Source organism: Homo sapiens, chromosome 15 (assembly GCF_000001405.40).
Source record: "Homo sapiens chromosome 15, GRCh38.p14 Primary Assembly".
Taxonomy (NCBI): Eukaryota; Metazoa; Chordata; class Mammalia; order Primates; family Hominidae; genus Homo; species Homo sapiens.
Genome location: NC_000015.10, coordinates 60,360,162 through 60,377,775, shown reverse-complemented (window position 1 = coordinate 60,377,775; position 17,614 = coordinate 60,360,162). Strand labels below are relative to the sequence as shown.

Genomic DNA, 17,614 nt, shown 5'->3' with positions numbered 1-17,614 from the left:
TAAAAGGCATTAGCAATGGAAACAGACGTACGTCACTTCATGGTCCTTCCTTTACTGCACTGTGTAGATATTATGGTTTTTACAAATTGAAGATTTGTGGCAATGCTATTCACTTTGTCTCTGTGCCAGCATTTTTTAGAAATAAAAGTATTTTTTAAATTTAGTTATGTGTTTTTTAGACATAATGCTATTACACACTTAATATAATATAATCACACTTTTATATGCATTGGGAAACCAAATTGTGTGACTTGCATTATTGCTATATTTGCTTTATTGTGATGGTCTGGAACCGAACCAGTAGTATCTCCGAGGTATGCCTGTATATGGAATTGTGGGCAATTGCTCCTTTTCCTTTCTTGGGCTTTCAGTATATTCTGTATTTCTGTATTTTGCAAATTTTCTATGATGACTTGTATTACTTTCATAGTGGAAGGCAGTAAACTTAATTAAAAACAAAAATGAAGTCATTAGTTGGAAAGGATAACAACCCTTTTGTTCCTTCCTCCTTCTCCTTGATATTATTAGATACTGGATAACTAAAACCACTTAAAAATGAGCTAATTAAGATCTTACCTTCTTTTTTTAGAATGCCTTTTGCCTTAAGTGTAATTAAGAAGCTTACACCACACCTTGGCCCCACTCCCACCTCTAACCCTTCATCGGGAAGAGACAATACTAAGTAGTTGGTGTTTCCTTGACATCAAAGGACACGGTATAAACCTCAAGTATTGATAGAAACAAAAGCCAGAGGACCATGTGACGATGACTGGCCCTCTTTCTCTCCTAGACGGGGGTAGCCGTGTGTACACACGTGTGTGTGAGTGTGCCGGGACGCTACCCACTCCATGTAATGTTCCATTGATTTCCCTGTGGTCTGTGTGCTCTCAGGAAGAAGAGCTGGGAGCAGGCCACCTTGGAGGAGGCTTAATCAGCTGCTGTCGAGTACACGGATGGTGCACAGGAGCAGGCCTGGAGTGGGATGATGGCGAGGAGGGTAGAGCTGGTCAGAGACCTGTTTGGGGGCACTGCTTGCCATGGCCAGGGCATGGCTGCAGGAGTCACGAAGGCTGTTCTCACAGACGAACTGTCAGTCACACCTGCTCTTCTTGGTGTGAGCTAAAGCTCCTCACTTGCAGCCCTCTGTTAGAGGAGAGAGGCTACTTTTCCCAGCCAGTCTGCCTCCTGGCACCCTCGAGAGAATATATTCCTAATTGCTGTGCTCAACTGAATGAATATACCTCCAGGTGTGCAGACAAAACCAAAAATACCTGTCCTGGCTCACTTTCCAGTGCTTGGGAGGCAGCTCTTATTCACCCCTTCCCCTAACTCTTGTCACCCCTCTCCTGTGAGCTGTTATGGCATCTGTCGTCGTCGTCTTCTTTTTTTTTTTTTGAGACAGAGTTTTGCTCTTGTTGCCCAGGCTGGAGTGCAATGCACAATGTCGGCTCACTGCAACCTCGCCTCCCGGGTTCAAGCGATTCTCCTACCTCAGCCTCCCGAGTAGCTGGGATTACAGGCATGTGCCACCATGCCCGGCTAATTTTTTTTTGCATTTTTAGTAGAGATGGTGTTTCTCCATGTTGGTCAGGCTGGTCTTGAGCTCCTGACCTCAGGTGATCCGCCTGCCTCAGCCTCCCAAAGTGCTGGGATTACGGGTGTGAGCCACTGCGCCTGGCCTATGGCATCTGTCTTCTAAGGGACCTCCCTGCTTCAGCCTTTACAGAGTATCTTTCTAGCCTCGTCTCTGGCTCTGTTCACGGCCCTCTACAGAGCATGCCTCTGCCTTTGTTCTTTGAGGAGCGTGTAGCCTCCTTCCTCCCCACCTCAAACATCTGCGCAGTTCCCATTTACCTCTCAGCCTGGGCCAGTGCACAGCATCAACAAGCTTTCTCTGAGAAGGCAGAACCAGCTATTTCTTGGTCTGTGTTCTCATCATACTCTACATACTCGTTTATTGTGCTTATGAGAAGGGGGGAGAAGCACAATACTGCTAAAATCAAAATAAGTCTGCTTTGTTTCTAGTTTGAAGGGATCTCAGTATTTTTTGCCTGTGCTGCCTAAACCAAATGCAGGATTGTTTTATGTATGCTCCGTCCTGAGGTAGACTATGCAACGACTTACCTTAATTTATGTCTGGTTAGAAACTGAGTACAGTCATGCAAAAGTAGTAATACTGCTTAATTAACAAGAGGTTGCTGAGACTTAATCTGTAGGAGTCTCTTGGTTTAGATTGGCCTTGGGTTAAATATATACGATGGCGTGTACAACACAGCTGTGAATGGTTTACCATATGGGTCCAAATAACTAGAAAGGAGAGTCAGCTAAATTAGAAAAGGATGAATCGAGACTCCAGAAAATAGACTGTAATTAGCAGCAGCACAACCCCAGAGTTAGTGTAAGTGCCAATAAACTGGTACAGCTTTGGTCTCTCTCTGGAAGGGGAGGGTAATGAATTACCCTATTATTATTGCCAGTTTTGATTTTAGCAGTATTTGTGTTCTCCGGAAGGGATGCAAAAGTGGGTGATTTTTCTCCCCCCTTTCTCAGAAGCGCAAGTATAGAAGCATAACTGCACGAAGTTTTGCACTTATTTTTTTCTTATACTTTTAAAATAGAACTGCTTAAGATTTCTGTGGCCAAAAGACTAACATCCCATGCCACTGCAGAACAAGCCAGGATGGATATTTTTGGTTTCACCTGCACGCCAGGTATATTCATTTGGCTGAGCAGAACAATTAGAAATATATTCTCTTGAGGGCGCCAAGAGGCAGACTGGCTGGGAAAAGTAGCCTCTCTCCTCTAACGGAGGGCTGCAAGTGAGGAGCTAAACCAACAAGAGCAGGTCTGAGTGTGAGCTCTTCTGTGACTCACGTAGCCCAGGGCCTTCTCACCCTCCTGGAAGGGAACGGGAGGGAACGGACCCTTCCCAGTTGCTGAGGCCTTTCTCTCTGTGTTCAAGTTTACTTTAGACTGACTTCTCATCTTACAGCAGTGCTGGGAACAAAGAGGCCAGTGCTGAGTCACAGCCACCCTGTGACTCTGCCAGCACAGATTTTCTTTGTAGTGATATTTGTCTATGTATCTATGTAGGTGCCAGACCTGAGCCACGTAGCTATCAAACACTGGAAAAGGAGTCCTTGGTGCCTTTCTAATTGTAAGCATCAGCTTTCATCACCTGCCTCTCTTCAGCTCTTTCTTTTTTTAAAAAACAGTTAGCTCTTTTCCCTGAGGAAATCCAAATACCAGTTTCACCCAGGGACAATGGCAGTAACCAGATTCTAATCTGGTGTCAGCAATGCCAAGAAAATTCTCCAATATCAAGTGAGTTAAGGGTGGCTGCGTTGGTTTCTCTCGCATCTGTTCACATTTTTTAATTTTCTGTCCCATGAGGCTGACGGAGTAGCAGAGCACAATACAGGGCTTGCATTTTATGCATGTTCCTTCACTGACGATTTGATTTGAATCTTGAGCAGTGGTGTACTTTGTGTTTTCCTGCTGGTCTTGTAGCTTGTTTCAGAAATATAATTCTGCATGGAAGGCAGACAAGGTTCTAGATTATTAAAGCAGCCGGTGAGATTACCAAGTCGATGATACCTTAAATCCTTTCTAAGGAACTCAGCTGAAGTGAGATCAAAGCAGAATGGAAATAGAAGAAATCTGATTTTTGGACCAAAACCACTTCTTAGGCACTTAGCTAAACTACACTTTCCCCGAGTTGAGACTGTGTGCCCCAGCTGTGCCAGGCTTGGGAGAGGCACCCAACTCCCCTGCCTCATTTCACCCTGTGCAATGCCTACTTTCTCTCCCATCTCTTGGCAGCTGCCAGAGTTTGTCATGTAACTGGACTACTCATCCATGTGTGCCAATGGCAAAAATGTTCTCTATCTTTCTTTGCCCCATATTTCACAGGCAGAAATTCAAATGCAGGCAGGGGCCAGGCTTGTGACAGAGAAGCTGAATGAAGGCAGTAGATGTGTTTCTAGTCGTTAACTCAGCCAGTCTTTTCTGCATCCTGGTAAAATAAGTATTATCATTATCTCTGTTCTATAGGGGTGAGATACCTAGGCCTAGGAAGAGAACTAATGTGCCCCAGGATCTCACAGGTCTGAGTCCCATGGAGTTTCCAAAGCACTATATTGTGGCTGCTACTTATCCAGAGGCCTCCCCTGGCATCTGTCAGCCTGCTGGGTGTCCTGTCTTGATGAGAGACGCTCTGGAGACACAGTGCTCGCTTGTGCTGGATGACCCAGAGGGGCAACTTTTACAGCAGGGGTTCCGGGCCAGCCAGCACCCTGGCTGAAGGTGCTTTTGGGTAGTCCTATGGCTAGAGGGGAGCTTTTCTCTCCCTAAAAATCTCTCTCACTAGATGGATGACTGGCTGGCCTAACAGGCTTGTTTGGAAGGACTTCCTCCCTTTGCTGAGTTATTCATGTCTCTCCTCAGAAGAGAGTCTTCTAGCTCTTTCTGCTGAAGAAAACCTCAACTGGGTTATCCCTTTAGTGGCCATGCATTATTACCAGGTGGCAAATCATTATCTACAGATTACCAAATGTAAGTGCATTTGTATGTAAAAATTTCAGCCCAGTTCTCTACACGTGTTGACACATTATTGTACCATATCCTTTGTAGGAGCTAGATGGTGGAGTGTGGTATGAAAAAGTATCAAAGTATAATTTTAAAAAGGTACAAACTTGACTCATAGGATAAACATATACTAAACTTTTAATGCACTGAGGTAAGGCTGGTTCAGAGGGAATTTGAGATACTGGATGTTGGTAAGTGTTGAGAAAAGAATGTTGGAATGAGATTGTTGGGCCAGGCTGGGTGTGGTGGCTCTTGTCTGTAATCCCAGCACTTTGGGAGGGCCTGGGCAACAAAGGGAGACCTCATCCCTAAAAATATTTTTAATAATTAGCTGGGTGTTGGTGGTGAGTGCCTGTGCTTCCAGCTACTCAGGAGGTTGAGGCAGGAGGATCATTTGGGCCCAGGAGGTCGAGGCTACAGTGAGCCATGGTTGTACCACTGTACTCCAGCCTGGTCAACAGAGTGAGACCCTGTTTAAAAAAAAAAAAAAAAAAAAGGAAAGATTGTTGAGCTGAATACAAGACCATTAATGTCCTATAGGGTAGTGAAGCCACAACCTTTGGGGTTATCTTTTCTACTGGACCAAAATCTACAAGTTAACATGTAACCCCACAGAGTGTATGCCCAAATCAGTAGTAAGTAGCACGTCAGGTAAGAGCAGGCCCCTTGAGCAGGAGTCTTTGGGCCTGTGAGATAGTGCTCCAGCACATACCTGGAGGATATGCTGTCTTCCTCTTGCTTTATTTTCAAGTTTTGCATAATTTTCTATCACAGGAGGCAGAGTTGCCTAGTGCAGTGAGCCAGGGTCTTTAGTCCCGGTTTGAATCTCAGCCCTGCAAGTGTCTTGCTTGTGTGACCTTGAGTGAGTCTCTGCCTTCTATGAGCATTGGTTTCCTCATTAGTACAACCGGGATGACAATGGCACCCACCTCAGATGGGTGTGGTGAGAAGTACGTGATAGAATATGGGCATCTGATAAAAATGCCTGTAACATAGTAGGTACTCAGTAAAAGGTTACTATTATTATTATTATTATTTTGAGATAGAGTTTCGCTCTTGTTGCCCAGGCTGGAGTGCAATGGCTCAATCTTGGCTCACCTCAACCTCTGTCTCCCAGGTTCAAGTGATTCTCCAGCCTCAGCCTCCCGAGTAGCTGGGATTACACGCATGTGCCACCAAGCCTGGCTAATTTTGTATTTTTAGTAGAGATGGGGTTTCTCCGTGTTAGTGAGGCTGATCTCAAACTCCTGACCTCGTGGTCCGCCCACCTTGGCCTCCCAAAGTGCTGGGATTATAGGCGTGAGCCACCGCGCCCGGCAAAAGGTTACTATTATTATAATAAATGAACTACGTCCACGTGTACACACCCATAACTCTGTGGCATTGTCCTCTCTTTGTGGCATGCCTCTGACCTTCTTTTAGTAAAGATGATTTCTTCTCAGCTTTGATACTGGTATGCTCAGTAATCTTAGTCAAGTCAAGTCGTGGTCTTCCCCATAATCTAGGTAAGGAGAGGATCTGGACAGTTTTCCTTTGTTTTCCAAGTCAACCCCCACTCTCCCGAGACCTTCATCAAACACAAATGAAATCCATTTTCTTTGTGCAGTCAGTGTGTCTCGGCAGATGTGAGTCAGCATCCTGTTCAGAACGGCTGTTGGTGCCTTGCCATGGACAATAAAGACACACATTTTCCATGGAATGCCAGGCGCTTGAGCTGACTTGGGGTTTCCACCCGCAGAGAGGAGGAGGAAACTCCAGGAGGCTGATTTTGTGGTTTTGGATCCAGCCATCATTTTAAACTGCAAATATTCTCTGTGCTTGAAAAATATGGTGAATGATTTATGGGACCCATGACCCCCAGGTTTCTACTGGCACCTTGCTGTCAGCAACACCTCCCCGTGGCATTCCCTTGGCAAAGCTATTGCTTCGGACTGACTGGCATTTGGAACAGTGACTGACCTCTGGGGGTGCCCACGATCCAGGTGTTGAAAATATTGTTGTAGTTAGCTAATTAGATTAGTTGGCTATTTTCGTTCAACGAGTAAATGCTTAAAGATTTCCTTGTGCTGTTTCTTATCAGGAGCCAAATACATTTGTGTCTTGGTTCCTCACCAATGTTGGAAAACTGTAACTTCTGTTAGTTTTGAAAAAAAATTGTAAAAAATCTGCCTGGATCACAGAATTCATGTTCTCACCCATATTCTGTGGGGTCACCCTATCCACATCACTCTTCTTTGGGGAGAGCCTTTGCTTAGATGACTTTGTGATCACTCATATCAGACACACGAGGAAGAGGATGGAAAAGAAAGTGATATTCAGGTTTTCTGTTTCTTCTTTATGCCCTCGCCCCACCCACACAGTTTCTTTAGACCCTGTGCCCTTCCGCCCAGCAAACACTTCCTTAAGCACTGGAACACGAGAGGTCAGAGAGTATAAATCAAGGGAGGCAGAGCCCCATCTCCTGGGCCTCTGGCACTATATTCAATTTAGAGCTTTTCTGGTGTCCTGGCACTGGTTGTGCATTGTTGATGATGATTGTGCTGACATAGGTATTCGAGGTTCCGTCCGAGTCCTTCAGTTGCATCCTGGGTAGAAATGGTGAGTAACCGGATGACCCTTGCAACCTCAACCTGTACTGAACAATTTTTCACAGGAATAAATGGCCTCACCAATTACAATAGCAGGGCAAGAGGAAGCAGCAGTGTTCTAAAGATAAGATGGTTCAATCCCATTTGCAGATGCATGTATTTGGTATTACAATATAGGACATGACTTAAGTGGCTTTGACTAGGCAGTTGATCCTGGCTCCATGATTTTTTCCTCTTTCCAGTTCAATTTGAAACATGCAGACAGTGGTATGGGAGAAATAGCTGATGCAGGTGAGGTTCTTGGGCAGGGCGGTAGGAGGGGAATCTTCTGCTGGCAGAAACAGCCTCCATTTCATTTCTTTGTAGTTAGTGGCATTAGCACTTGTGCAATGCATTACGGCTGTTCACTTGTAAAGTCCCAGCATGTTAGATACTGCATCTCAGCTGGCTGTTTGCTTGGTAAATAATTTAGGTAAAATACATTTTGATTCCTTTAGACTATGGTTGTTGCTGCCTCCTAGGTAAGATTCACGTTAACCACCCAGGCTCTTTATGGGGATCTCCGATAATTGGATTAAATTCTATCAGTGCTGGCTGGACACTTAGCTGCTATGGAAAGAAGGGCAAAAAGCTGTGTCGTTGGCTAAGAGTGTGGGACTGCATTGCGGCTTGTGGAGTGAACTCTTTAGATGTTACTTCTTACCTGGGTTGTTTGGACAAAAGTAAGCACTTCTTTTCCTAAAATTGTAGTCGATCCTGTACCTCACAAAAGCAGTTGGTAGAAGTGACATAGAAGTCTTTTAGATAGGTAGATTTCTAGAGACATTTCCATTTCCCACCATGGTTATCCATTTCTGTTGGTGATTCTCAAATAAGGAATTACTAGGGAGTTTGTTGAAGTGCTGCTTCCTCGGTCCCAAGTTCTACAGAGCCTTCCTTAGTAGTTCTCAGGTGCAGCCTAAGGGACTGTGTTTTTAATAAGTGCTTCACGTGATTTTAATGCAGGTGGGGCCAAGAACCACATTCTGACCCAAACACAGACTTTGCATTTGTTTTTAAGAGAGAATACTTTTTTATGGGTCACTGTTCTTGGTATGCCTTCAGGCCAGCGGCCCCTAGGTTGACTTCTGGAAGTATTAGAATTGAGGTTAGAGGATAGAATTGTATTTTGTGATGGTTCTTCAGTATTTTCAGTTGTGGGTAATAAAATTAAGTACAAGGCAAAACACGTTAATAAACAAGTGGTTTTCCTAATAGAAACCTAGAGCCATAGAATTTTGAGAGACAGAGCAAGGGAGCAAACGAGCAAGCGAACACGCATGTGTGGGTAGGCATGAATGCACAGCAGCCCAGGCACACGTCCACTTTGTGGGTATTTTAGAGTCTTTGAATCAATCTCTTCTGCCCGTTCCTAAATGAAACAAAATATAAGTTAAAGCTTAATTATATCCATTAGTGTTTTGTGGAAGCAGAAGTGGGGGGTCATTGTTCAAGCCCCCTTCTTGTGCAGATATAGAAGCTGAGACCCCAGTAGGACAAATGTTTACACACATAACACATACAGGGATGGGCTGCAGTCCCTCTGAGCTTTAGAGCCTCCACTTATGAAATAGAAAGAGAAATAGCTATCCCCTCTTGGTTGTTATGAGGATTAAATAACATAGCTTGTCTTACGATGTTTGGAAACTGAAGAGAATTATATAGATGTAATTCCTAATTACCATGCATACTGTGTTTTCTAACTGAAGTATTTAGAGTTATACAGGGACTCTCTTGAAGTGAAGTCACTAGTCGATTCTGGAGCAATGACTGCCTGCCACTCACCGGGTATTAAAAAAAACCCATTTATGGTCATTATGGTGAACTTTGAAAGTACAGATAATCAAAAGAAAGATTATACATAATCCCATCACTCACATGATCACTATTAAAATTTTGATATAGAGACTTCTAGGTATTTTCTTATACGTGCATACACATTTTACAAAAATGAGAGTATACAGAGCATACTGCTTTGCAACCTTTTTTTTTTTTTACTTAACAGTACCTTTATTGTGGATATTTTCCAACATTAATTAATACTTCCATGCCATCATTTTAAATGACTGCATAGTATCCCATTACATGGAAAAAAGAACATTTAATCAGCCTCTTATTGGACACAGGTGTTTTTTCTACTTTACTTTTCAATATTGTATACAATGCTGAAATAAGCATCTTTGAAGCTGAATCTCATATCCAGCAATTGGATTTATTTTTATTTTATTTTATTTTATTTTATTTTTTTTTTTTATTGATCATTCTTGGGTGTTTCTCGCAGAGGGGGATTTGGCAGGGTCATAGGACAATAGTGGAGGGAAGGTCAGCAGATAAACAAGTGAACAAAGGTCTCTGGTTTTCCTAGGCAGAGGACCCTGCGGCCTCCCGCAGTGTTTGTGTCCCTGGGTACTTAAGATTAGGGAGTGGTGATGACTCTTAACGAGCATGCTGCCTTCAAGCATCTGTTTAACAAAGCACATCTTGCACCGCCCTTAATCCATTTAACCCTGAGTGGACGCAGCACATGTTTCAGAGAGCACAGGGTTGGGGATAAGGTCACAGATCAACAGGATCCCAAGGCAGAAGAATTTTTCTTAGTACAGAACAAAATGAAAAGTCTCCCATGTCTACTTCTATCCACACAGACCCGGCAACCATCCGATTTCTCAATTTTTTCCCCACCCTTCCCGCCTTTCTATTCCACAAAACTGCCATTGTCATCATGGCCCATCCCCAATGAGCCGCTGGGCACACCTCCCAGACGGGGTCGTGGCCAGGCAGAGGGGCTCCTCACTTCCCAGTAGGGGCGGCCGGGCAGAAGCGCCCCTCACCTCCCGGATGGGGCGGCTGGCCGGGCGGGGGCTGACCCCCCACCACCCTCCCGGACGGGGCGGCTGGCCAGGCAGAGCGGCTCCTCACTTCCCAGTAGGGGCGGCCGGGCAGAGGCGCCCCTCACCTCCTGGATAGGGCGGCTGGCCGGGCGGGGGGCTGTCCCCCCCACCTCCCTCCCGGACGGGGCGGCTGGCCGGGCAGAGGGGTCCTCACTTCCTAGTAGGGGCGGCCGGGCAGAGGCGCCCCTCACCTCCCGGACGGGGCGGCCGGCCGGAAGGGGGGCTGACCCCCCCCCCCACCTCCCTCCCGGACGGGGCGGCTGGCCGACCCCCCCCCGCCTCCCTCCCGGACCGGGCGGCTGGCCGGGCAGAGGGGCTCCTCACTTTCCAGTAGGGGCGGCCGGGCAGAGGCGCCCCTCACCTCCCGGACGGGGCGGCTGGCCGGGCGGGGGGCTGATCCCCCCACCTCCCTCCCGGACGGGGCGGCTGGCCGGGCGGGGGGCTGACCCCCCCCACCTCCCTCCCGGACGGGGCGGCTGGCCGGACGGGGGGCTGACCCCCCCTCCCCCCTCCCGGACGGGGCGGCTGGCCGGGCGGGGGGCTGACCCCCCCACCTCCCTCCCGGATGGGGCGGCTGGCCAGGCGGGGGGCTGATCCCCCCTCCCCCCTCCCGGACGGGGCGGCTGGCCGGGCGGGGGGCTGACCCCCCACCTCCCTCCCGGACTGGGCGGCTGGCCGGGCGGGGGGCTGACCCCCCCACCTCCCTCCCGGACGGGGCGGCTGGCCGGGCAGAGGGGTCCTCACTTCCCAGTAGGGGCGGCCGGGCAGAGGCGCCCCTCACCTCCCGGACGGGGCGGCCGGCCGGGCGGGGGGCTGACCCCCCCACCTCCCTCCCGGACGGGGCGGCTGGCCGACCCCCCCCCCCCCCGCCTCCCTCCCGGACGGGGCGGCTGGCCGGGCAGAGGGGCTCCTCACTTCCCAGTAGGGGCGGCCGGGCAGAGGAGCCCCTCACCTCCCGGACGGGGCGGCTGGCCGGGCGGGGGGCTGACCCCCCCCACCTCCCTCCCGGACGGGGTGGCTGCCGGGCGGAGACGCTCCTCACTTCCCAGACGGGGTGGTTGCCGGACGGAGGGGCTCCTCACTTCTCAGACGGGGCGGTTGCCAGGCAGAGGGTTTCCTCACTTCTCAGACGGAGCGGCCGGGCAGAGACGCTCCTCATCTCCCAGACAGGGTCGCGGCCGGGCAGAGGCGCTCCTCACATCCCAGACAGGGCGGTGGGGCAGAGGTGCTCCCCACATCTCAGACGATGGGCGGCCGCGCAGAGATGCTCCTCACTTCCTAGATGGGATGGCGGCGGGGAAGAGGCGCTCCTCACTTTCCAGACTGGGCAGCCAGGCAGAGGGGCTCCTCATATCCCAGACGATGGGCGGCCAGGCAGAGACGCTCCTCACTTCCCAGACGGGGTGGCGGCCGGGCAGAGGCTGCAATCTGGGCTCTTTGGGAGGCCAAGGCAGGCGGCTGGGAGGTGGTTGTAGCGAGCCGAGATCACGCCACTGCACTCCAGCCTGGGCACCATTGAGCACTGAGTGAACGAGACTCCATCTGCAATCCCAGCACCTCGGGAGGCCGAGGCTGGCGGATCACTCGCGGTTAGGAGCTGGAGACCAGCCCGGCCAACACAGCGAAACCCCGTCTCCACCAAAAAAAAACGAAAACCAGTCAGGCGTGGCGGCGCGCGCCTGCAATCGCAGGCACTCGGCAGGCTGAGGCAGGAGAATCAGGCAGGGAGGTTGCAGTGAGCCGAGATGGCAGCAGTACCGTCCAGCTTTGGCTCGGCATCAGAGGGAGACCGTGGAGGGAGAGGGAGGGGGAGGGGGAGGGGGAGAGGGAGAGGGAGAGGGAGACTCAGCAGCAATTGGATTTCTATGTTTACCTTGGCTACTCTAAAAATGAGAGCTAAAGTTATAGATGCTACAGTTAAGATAGCAAGCATATTGGTATGGACTTGCTTTGAAATGAGCATATACATTTTAAAAAGTTATTTATTTTTATACCCAGAAATTCTAACTTTATACTTTTTGATCTAACACACTTGAGAATTCAAAATACTTCCTCTGTCAATCTGCTGTTTGTCTTTGTCTCAAGCGTTACAGTTTTGACCTTTCTGTTTCTTCAGGACTCCTCTGATTTTCTTCAGGCCAAGCCATTTGTAGTTTGCAAGTGACTTTGTAGGTTTAGCAACTCTACTCTCTCACCCAAGAGTTACCTATCCAGTTATGGCAAAGACTGTTTCTTTCATTAAACAAAGTTATTAATCAGTCAGGAGAGAGACTTTTCACATTCTGAATTTACAAACTGTGCTTTCTTAAGTTAAATGGCATGTTAGGAGTATTTCTGATATGAAATTGGAAACTTGCAGACACCAGAAGGCATTGCTTATCTTTGTAAATACACATGTTCCAATTAAAATAGGTACTAAAATATTTTGGTGGCACCTCAAAACTCCCAATTTAGATTTAATTTAGATTAAAACACTTACTCTTTTTAATAAAGTTATAAAATTAATTATTAAAATTGCCTATTGAAGATTAAAGGCAGTGGAACGTTTATTTTCCTTACAAAACAATTTTGTCTTCAATAAGTGTGATTGTGTTAATCAATTATGCTATTAAAAATACAACTGCCGTGTTAAATCTGACTCATTTGTCATGACAGTTTTTATAATTATAGAAATTATACCTAGCTGCTTATATAGCCATAATCCTGCAATAAGTATAAATAATTATCTCTATTAATTCAGTTTGCAGTTACTCTCTATTAAATCCCGAGTTAAATGGCAATTTGGGGACCTTCATTTAAAATCCTACTAAATCTCTGTTGTTCCATCTGACTGCCAAAGCCCCACATATGCACCTCCTACTGTTGATTCCAGAAACCAATTTATGAATAAAATAGTTTTTAAACCACAAGTATTTAAAAGGTCCATTTAAGCTTGAGGTTTGAGGCTCTCAAGAAAAAAGGAAAGAGAGTGTACACATTGGGTAGAGGATGCTGACGAAAGAGATAGAACAAATCTTGGTGTCTGGGTATTTCAGTTTGGAAAACAGTATATAAATTTCAGTTTGAAAAAGTCTGCTTGACACCTTCTATGTAAGCCCAAAATACTAGAGTATACTGAGTAACGATTAACAACTTGTATTTCCATAGGTGTGGATGAGGTCACCATTGTCAACATTTTGACCAACCGCAGCAATGCACAGAGACAGGATATTGCCTTCGCCTACCAGAGAAGGACCAAAAAGGTACAGGCAATTCCAGGGATGGAGGGCATTTCTTGTTGAATTTTTGTTTCCTCAGACATTGCTTTTTCTTTTCATGAATTGTGGCTCTCATGCGCAAAAGACTTGTGGGACCCTTGGATATCTAAGATTTTCTTCTTAAATCCTTGTAAGAGTCACTGCACATGTGTGTGTGCGTGTGTGCACGCGCGCGTGCACCTCAGGTCATCAGGCATTAGGTTCTCATAAGGAGTGTACAACATAGATCCCTCGCGTGTGCAGTTCACAGTAGGGTTCGCGCTTCTGTGAGAATCTCATGCCACCGTTGATCTGAGAGGAGGCAGAGCGCAGATGGTCACGCTCGCTTTAGAGTGCTTGGGAGCTCCTGTGTAAGGACAGTACCCTCCCCCAACCCAGGCTACCTGGAGGGAGAGCTTCTGGGAATAGAAAGTTAGGAATAGGGAACAACAACAATAACAACAACAGGCACCATTTATTGAGTGCTTACTTTGGGCCAGGCACTGTGCTCAGTTTTGTACATGTAGCAACTCATTTCATCTTTATGACTTCTGCTGGTTCTTGATAAGATGTTTCTAATTTAATTTTAGGATACTAGCCTCCACTGAGTGTTGATCCTAACAAGCTCCTCTCATTTTAAAAATATACACTTGAATTCTTAAGCTTTTTGCAACGAGTGGGCTTAGTTGTTAGTTCATTTGGTCTGCAAAGCTATCTTCAACATGCCATGCTCCTACTATTTAAAGGGTCTTTGTGTGCTTTTTCCCTTTGCTTGTCCACTAGTGGTTAAGAAACAACCAGTGCGTGTTCGTCCTTTATTTTGTCAGTTGTAGGAAATTTTATTTTTAAGGACGTGCTGCTTTATTTTTAACTTCTTGCTATTAAAAGCTTTTGATTTATTCTTGGACAGTGCAGTAAGTGTGGCTTCCTGCAGCTCCCGTTTGACTTATGGCTTTCACTTGTAGCCACAGTGGAGGTGAGCTGGAAGGATTCTAGAAGAGATATTTCTGCCCTTGGGATTGACATGACCAGCAGGGTCCTGGGAGTTGCAGGTCAAGCCTTGCTACACTTCCATCCCCCGCACTCTAAATGGTTGGAAAGGACATAAATAGGAAAGCATCTGGCTTCTTTCATCTCAAGTGCATTAAAATTCTTCTTTCACTAGAAGTGTATTAATCTTGTGTAGTGAGGCATAGAGGGGAGTGTTTTATTTCTGCAGCTTCCCAAAGGGGTCTGTGAGCTGGTAGAGCCAAGTTCCCAGTGGAGCAGAAGGCTCATCTCTGGATAGCAAGCAAAAAATTTGATCTTTCAGCTGTCACAGAGTATGGTCTTGGAATACATTTGGGTGTGTACACACACACATAGAAGCCTGAAACTTTTTTTTTTTTTTTTTTTTTTTTTTTTTGTGACAGGGTCTTGCTCTGTCACCCAGGCTTGATTGCAGTGGTGTGATTCGGCTTACTGCAACTTCTGCCATGTGGACTCAAATGATTCATCTCAGCCTCCCAAACTGCTGGGATTACAGTCATAAGCCACCACACCCAAAACCTAGATCTTGGTTTTAGATTAGATATATGTAGAACAAAGCTCCCACATACCCTCTAGGAGGGAAGATATTACCAGAATTATGATGAGGTCCCAAGATCTCACAGGCTTTGCTGTGTGCTGGGGACAGCTCATCATCCTACTAATTCTTGACTCTCAGCCTTAGGCCAAGGAGAATTATGTATCTTTTATAAAAGATATGTAAACTACTTGAGATAGTTTCAAGTGAAACAATCGGCTGTTTGTGAAATAAAGAAGAAAATTTGTGAAATAAGGAAGATTTGTGCTGCAGAGTTCTTTAGGGATACGGGCTGCAGCTGCCCAGGTGATGAGCTTGAAGAACCTAGGCCCGGCTGGCAGAGTGGAGAGGAGCTGGGAGAGACAGCTGCTTTTACGACTCTTTCATGTTCTAGCAGACGCCAGATGCGAGGCTTCTCCTTACAGGGAAGGGTTATGTTTGATTTATCATACATTTCTGGAGTTTTTGTTTAGTTTTTGTTAAATGCAAAGCTCTGTGCTGGACATTGTGAGAAACAGGAAGTTGAACGCCCATAAGGAGTTTAGAATAGAAGTGGAAGAAGTCAGTAGGTGCCCAAATGCTATTTGAGGTTTGAATAGAGAATGGGTAGAGGGGAGTGTCAAGGGTAGGCTAAGTTTGGAGTTACCTAACCTCAAAGTTCCAAACTGGGAGACTGGTGTTATAATTGGGAGCTACTGCTTTTACAGTCCCCTCCTAAGTGCCGTGTGTTCCCGGGACATTGGGAAGCAGGAGAAAATGGGTGGTGAAAGCCAGGTGGCTTCTAAGATCCATGTCAGTTCTAACACTTTTGACATCTACGAATGATTCAGCATGGTTGTCTCTGAAGCATGCTGCAAATCACCTCTCGTAGCCTGCAAGTACCTGTAGGGGCTAAGCTTTGTAGATGCCACAGGTGCTCTTAGAAAGCAAGGAAAGAAAGAAGAGAGAGAAGAAAAAAAAAAAAGCGAAAAGAAGAACATTATTTCAGTAGGAGGCTTCAGTCATCAGCCATGATTTGTAGGAAGTTTAGCTCGAGGAAGCATCGCTAAAAGACACATTGAGTTGGGGTGTCTGTCTACATACATGGGTGCTGACCAGACCTCTGACAAATTTTTGTGTTCATGGTGACAGTGGATCCAACCCTTAAGAAATTACATGCAGCAGGGAATTCAAGGGGGCCAGTTCGGGGGTGTTAGTTTCCTATCACTTCCATTAAACACCGTCCGAGTTTGGTGTGGACAAGGAGATATTTTCTCAGTATTAGATGAAGTGTTTTGCATAGGAAAGTTTCATGACCTCACTTCCAACTGTGTTGCGGCCTCTGGTTCCTTCTGGTGACTTTGAGGAGCTGCCGCTGGAATGGCTGCCCCCACGTCTTTTACAGTATATCGGGAGGCCACAAGATCTGCTTGCCAGGAGGCTGTCTGCTCAAACATCTCCTTCTTAGCAGGGGCCTTGATCTCCGAAAGCGTCCTGCCTTCCACGGAGTGTTACTGCTTTCAAGCATATTGCAAAGTGCCTGCACTCTCACAGCTTTCTTAGGAATCACATACGACTCCAGTTTCCTTTTATTGACCGGGGAAGACGGCAAAATTAACTTGGATTTTAAGGAATTTCGTTGAAGCAAAGCCTGATGTTTATGTTTCTGAGATGTGGGTCTGTTGAAGGGAATGCAGTTGAGGGCGTTTGACCCAAGACTCCGGAGTGGTCAAAGACTCACAACCTGCTTCACAAAAAGATCCCTCTTACTTTTGTTTTACTCACTAGTTTTAAAGTAAAATAAATATTTTCCTTATGATTGCCTGTTATCTTGAAGGAACTTGCATCAGCACTGAAGTCAGCCTTATCTGGCCACCTGGAGACGGTGATTTTGGGCCTATTGAAGACACCTGCTCAGTATGACGCTTCTGAGCTAAAAGCTTCCATGAAGGTAAATGCATGTGAGATGTCATCTCTGTCAAATCTGCTATTAATTTTGTGAATTACAGCTTTCTGAGTGTAATTTGGTGATTTTCAGTTTTGTTGAATTCTCATTTGGAACCATTTTTTAAAAATGAACTGAAGTTATATGTCTCAGGATTTGTACCAAAAATATTTCAATTACTTGTTTTAAGACTGTAAAGAAATTTCATGATGCTGAGAAGTCAGTTACCAGCTGCTACTACTCAGCACCTGGGCAATTGGAATACCATTTGGGAAAACTACTTCCTTGATTACACTTCCTCCTTTAAAAAGATATGTTGTGATATTAAGGCAAGAAAAAAAAACTCATAGCTTTTGTTAAGTGAAGCTTGCAAATTCTGCCCATCCTTTCGTGGGTGTTTCTTCCTCCCATACTCTCTCTGTCAGTACCATTTGTTTCAAATTCAGGCAGAATCAGAACATCATAGTGCATATAAGGGGTAATTCTGGATGAAGAATCGTACCTGAATCGTACCTGTGAGAAAGTAACTGTGAAGTCTCAATGCACGTTATCTTTTATGTTTTTCTTTTGTAAAGTTCTTTTGAACCTGGAATTTTAGGTTAAATTAAGTAAAAACTGTAGATTGGAAACCTCCTGAACTTTGTGCATACTTAAAATATCAAGTTTTTTGTTTTGTTTTGTTTTGTTTTTTGAGATGGATTTCGCTCTTGTTGCCCAGGCTGGAGTGCAATGGCGCGATCTCAGTTCACTGCAACCTCTGCCTCCCGGGTTCAAGAGATTCTCCT

The 17,614-nt window shown here is 46.2% G+C and overlaps 1 protein-coding gene across 12 annotated transcripts in view, besides 3 other annotated features; it reads left to right on the top strand.

Annotated features, from left to right (window-relative positions):
• Window positions 1-17,614, top strand: part of ANXA2 (annexin A2) — a 50,836-nt gene that overhangs the window by 20,211 nt on the left and 13,011 nt on the right. For all 12 annotated transcript variants that reach the window (NM_004039.3, NM_001136015.3, XM_047432407.1 and 9 more), the window contains 2 exons: window positions 13,253-13,347; window positions 16,722-16,835. In NM_004039.3, coding sequence (NP_004030.1) covers window positions 13,253-13,347; window positions 16,722-16,835 — 209 coding nt within the window. The remainder of the gene's footprint in view (window positions 1-13,252; window positions 13,348-16,721; window positions 16,836-17,614) is intronic.
• Window positions 5,505-6,704: an enhancer, noted in NCBI's record as "P300/CBP strongly-dependent group 1 enhancer chr15:60663271-60664470 (GRCh37/hg19 assembly coordinates)". NCBI's record gives its function as "activates an origin of replication core promoter dependent on BRD2, BRD4, P300/CBP, MED14 and CDK7 cofactors, with strong dependence on P300/CBP, by STARR-seq in HCT116 cells {active_cell/tissue: HCT116}" and the evidence as "EXISTENCE:reporter gene assay evidence [ECO:0000049][PMID:35650434]".
• Window positions 9,278-9,925: an enhancer, noted in NCBI's record as "OCT4-NANOG-H3K27ac hESC enhancer chr15:60660050-60660697 (GRCh37/hg19 assembly coordinates)". NCBI's record gives its function as "activates a minimal SCP1, AML or CMV promoter by ChIP-STARR-seq in naive H9 embryonic stem cells {active_cell/tissue: H9 hESC(naive)}" and the evidence as "EXISTENCE:reporter gene assay evidence [ECO:0000049][PMID:30033119]".
• Window positions 9,926-10,574: an enhancer, noted in NCBI's record as "NANOG-H3K27ac hESC enhancer chr15:60659401-60660049 (GRCh37/hg19 assembly coordinates)". NCBI's record gives its function as "activates a minimal SCP1, AML or CMV promoter by ChIP-STARR-seq in naive H9 embryonic stem cells {active_cell/tissue: H9 hESC(naive)}" and the evidence as "EXISTENCE:reporter gene assay evidence [ECO:0000049][PMID:30033119]".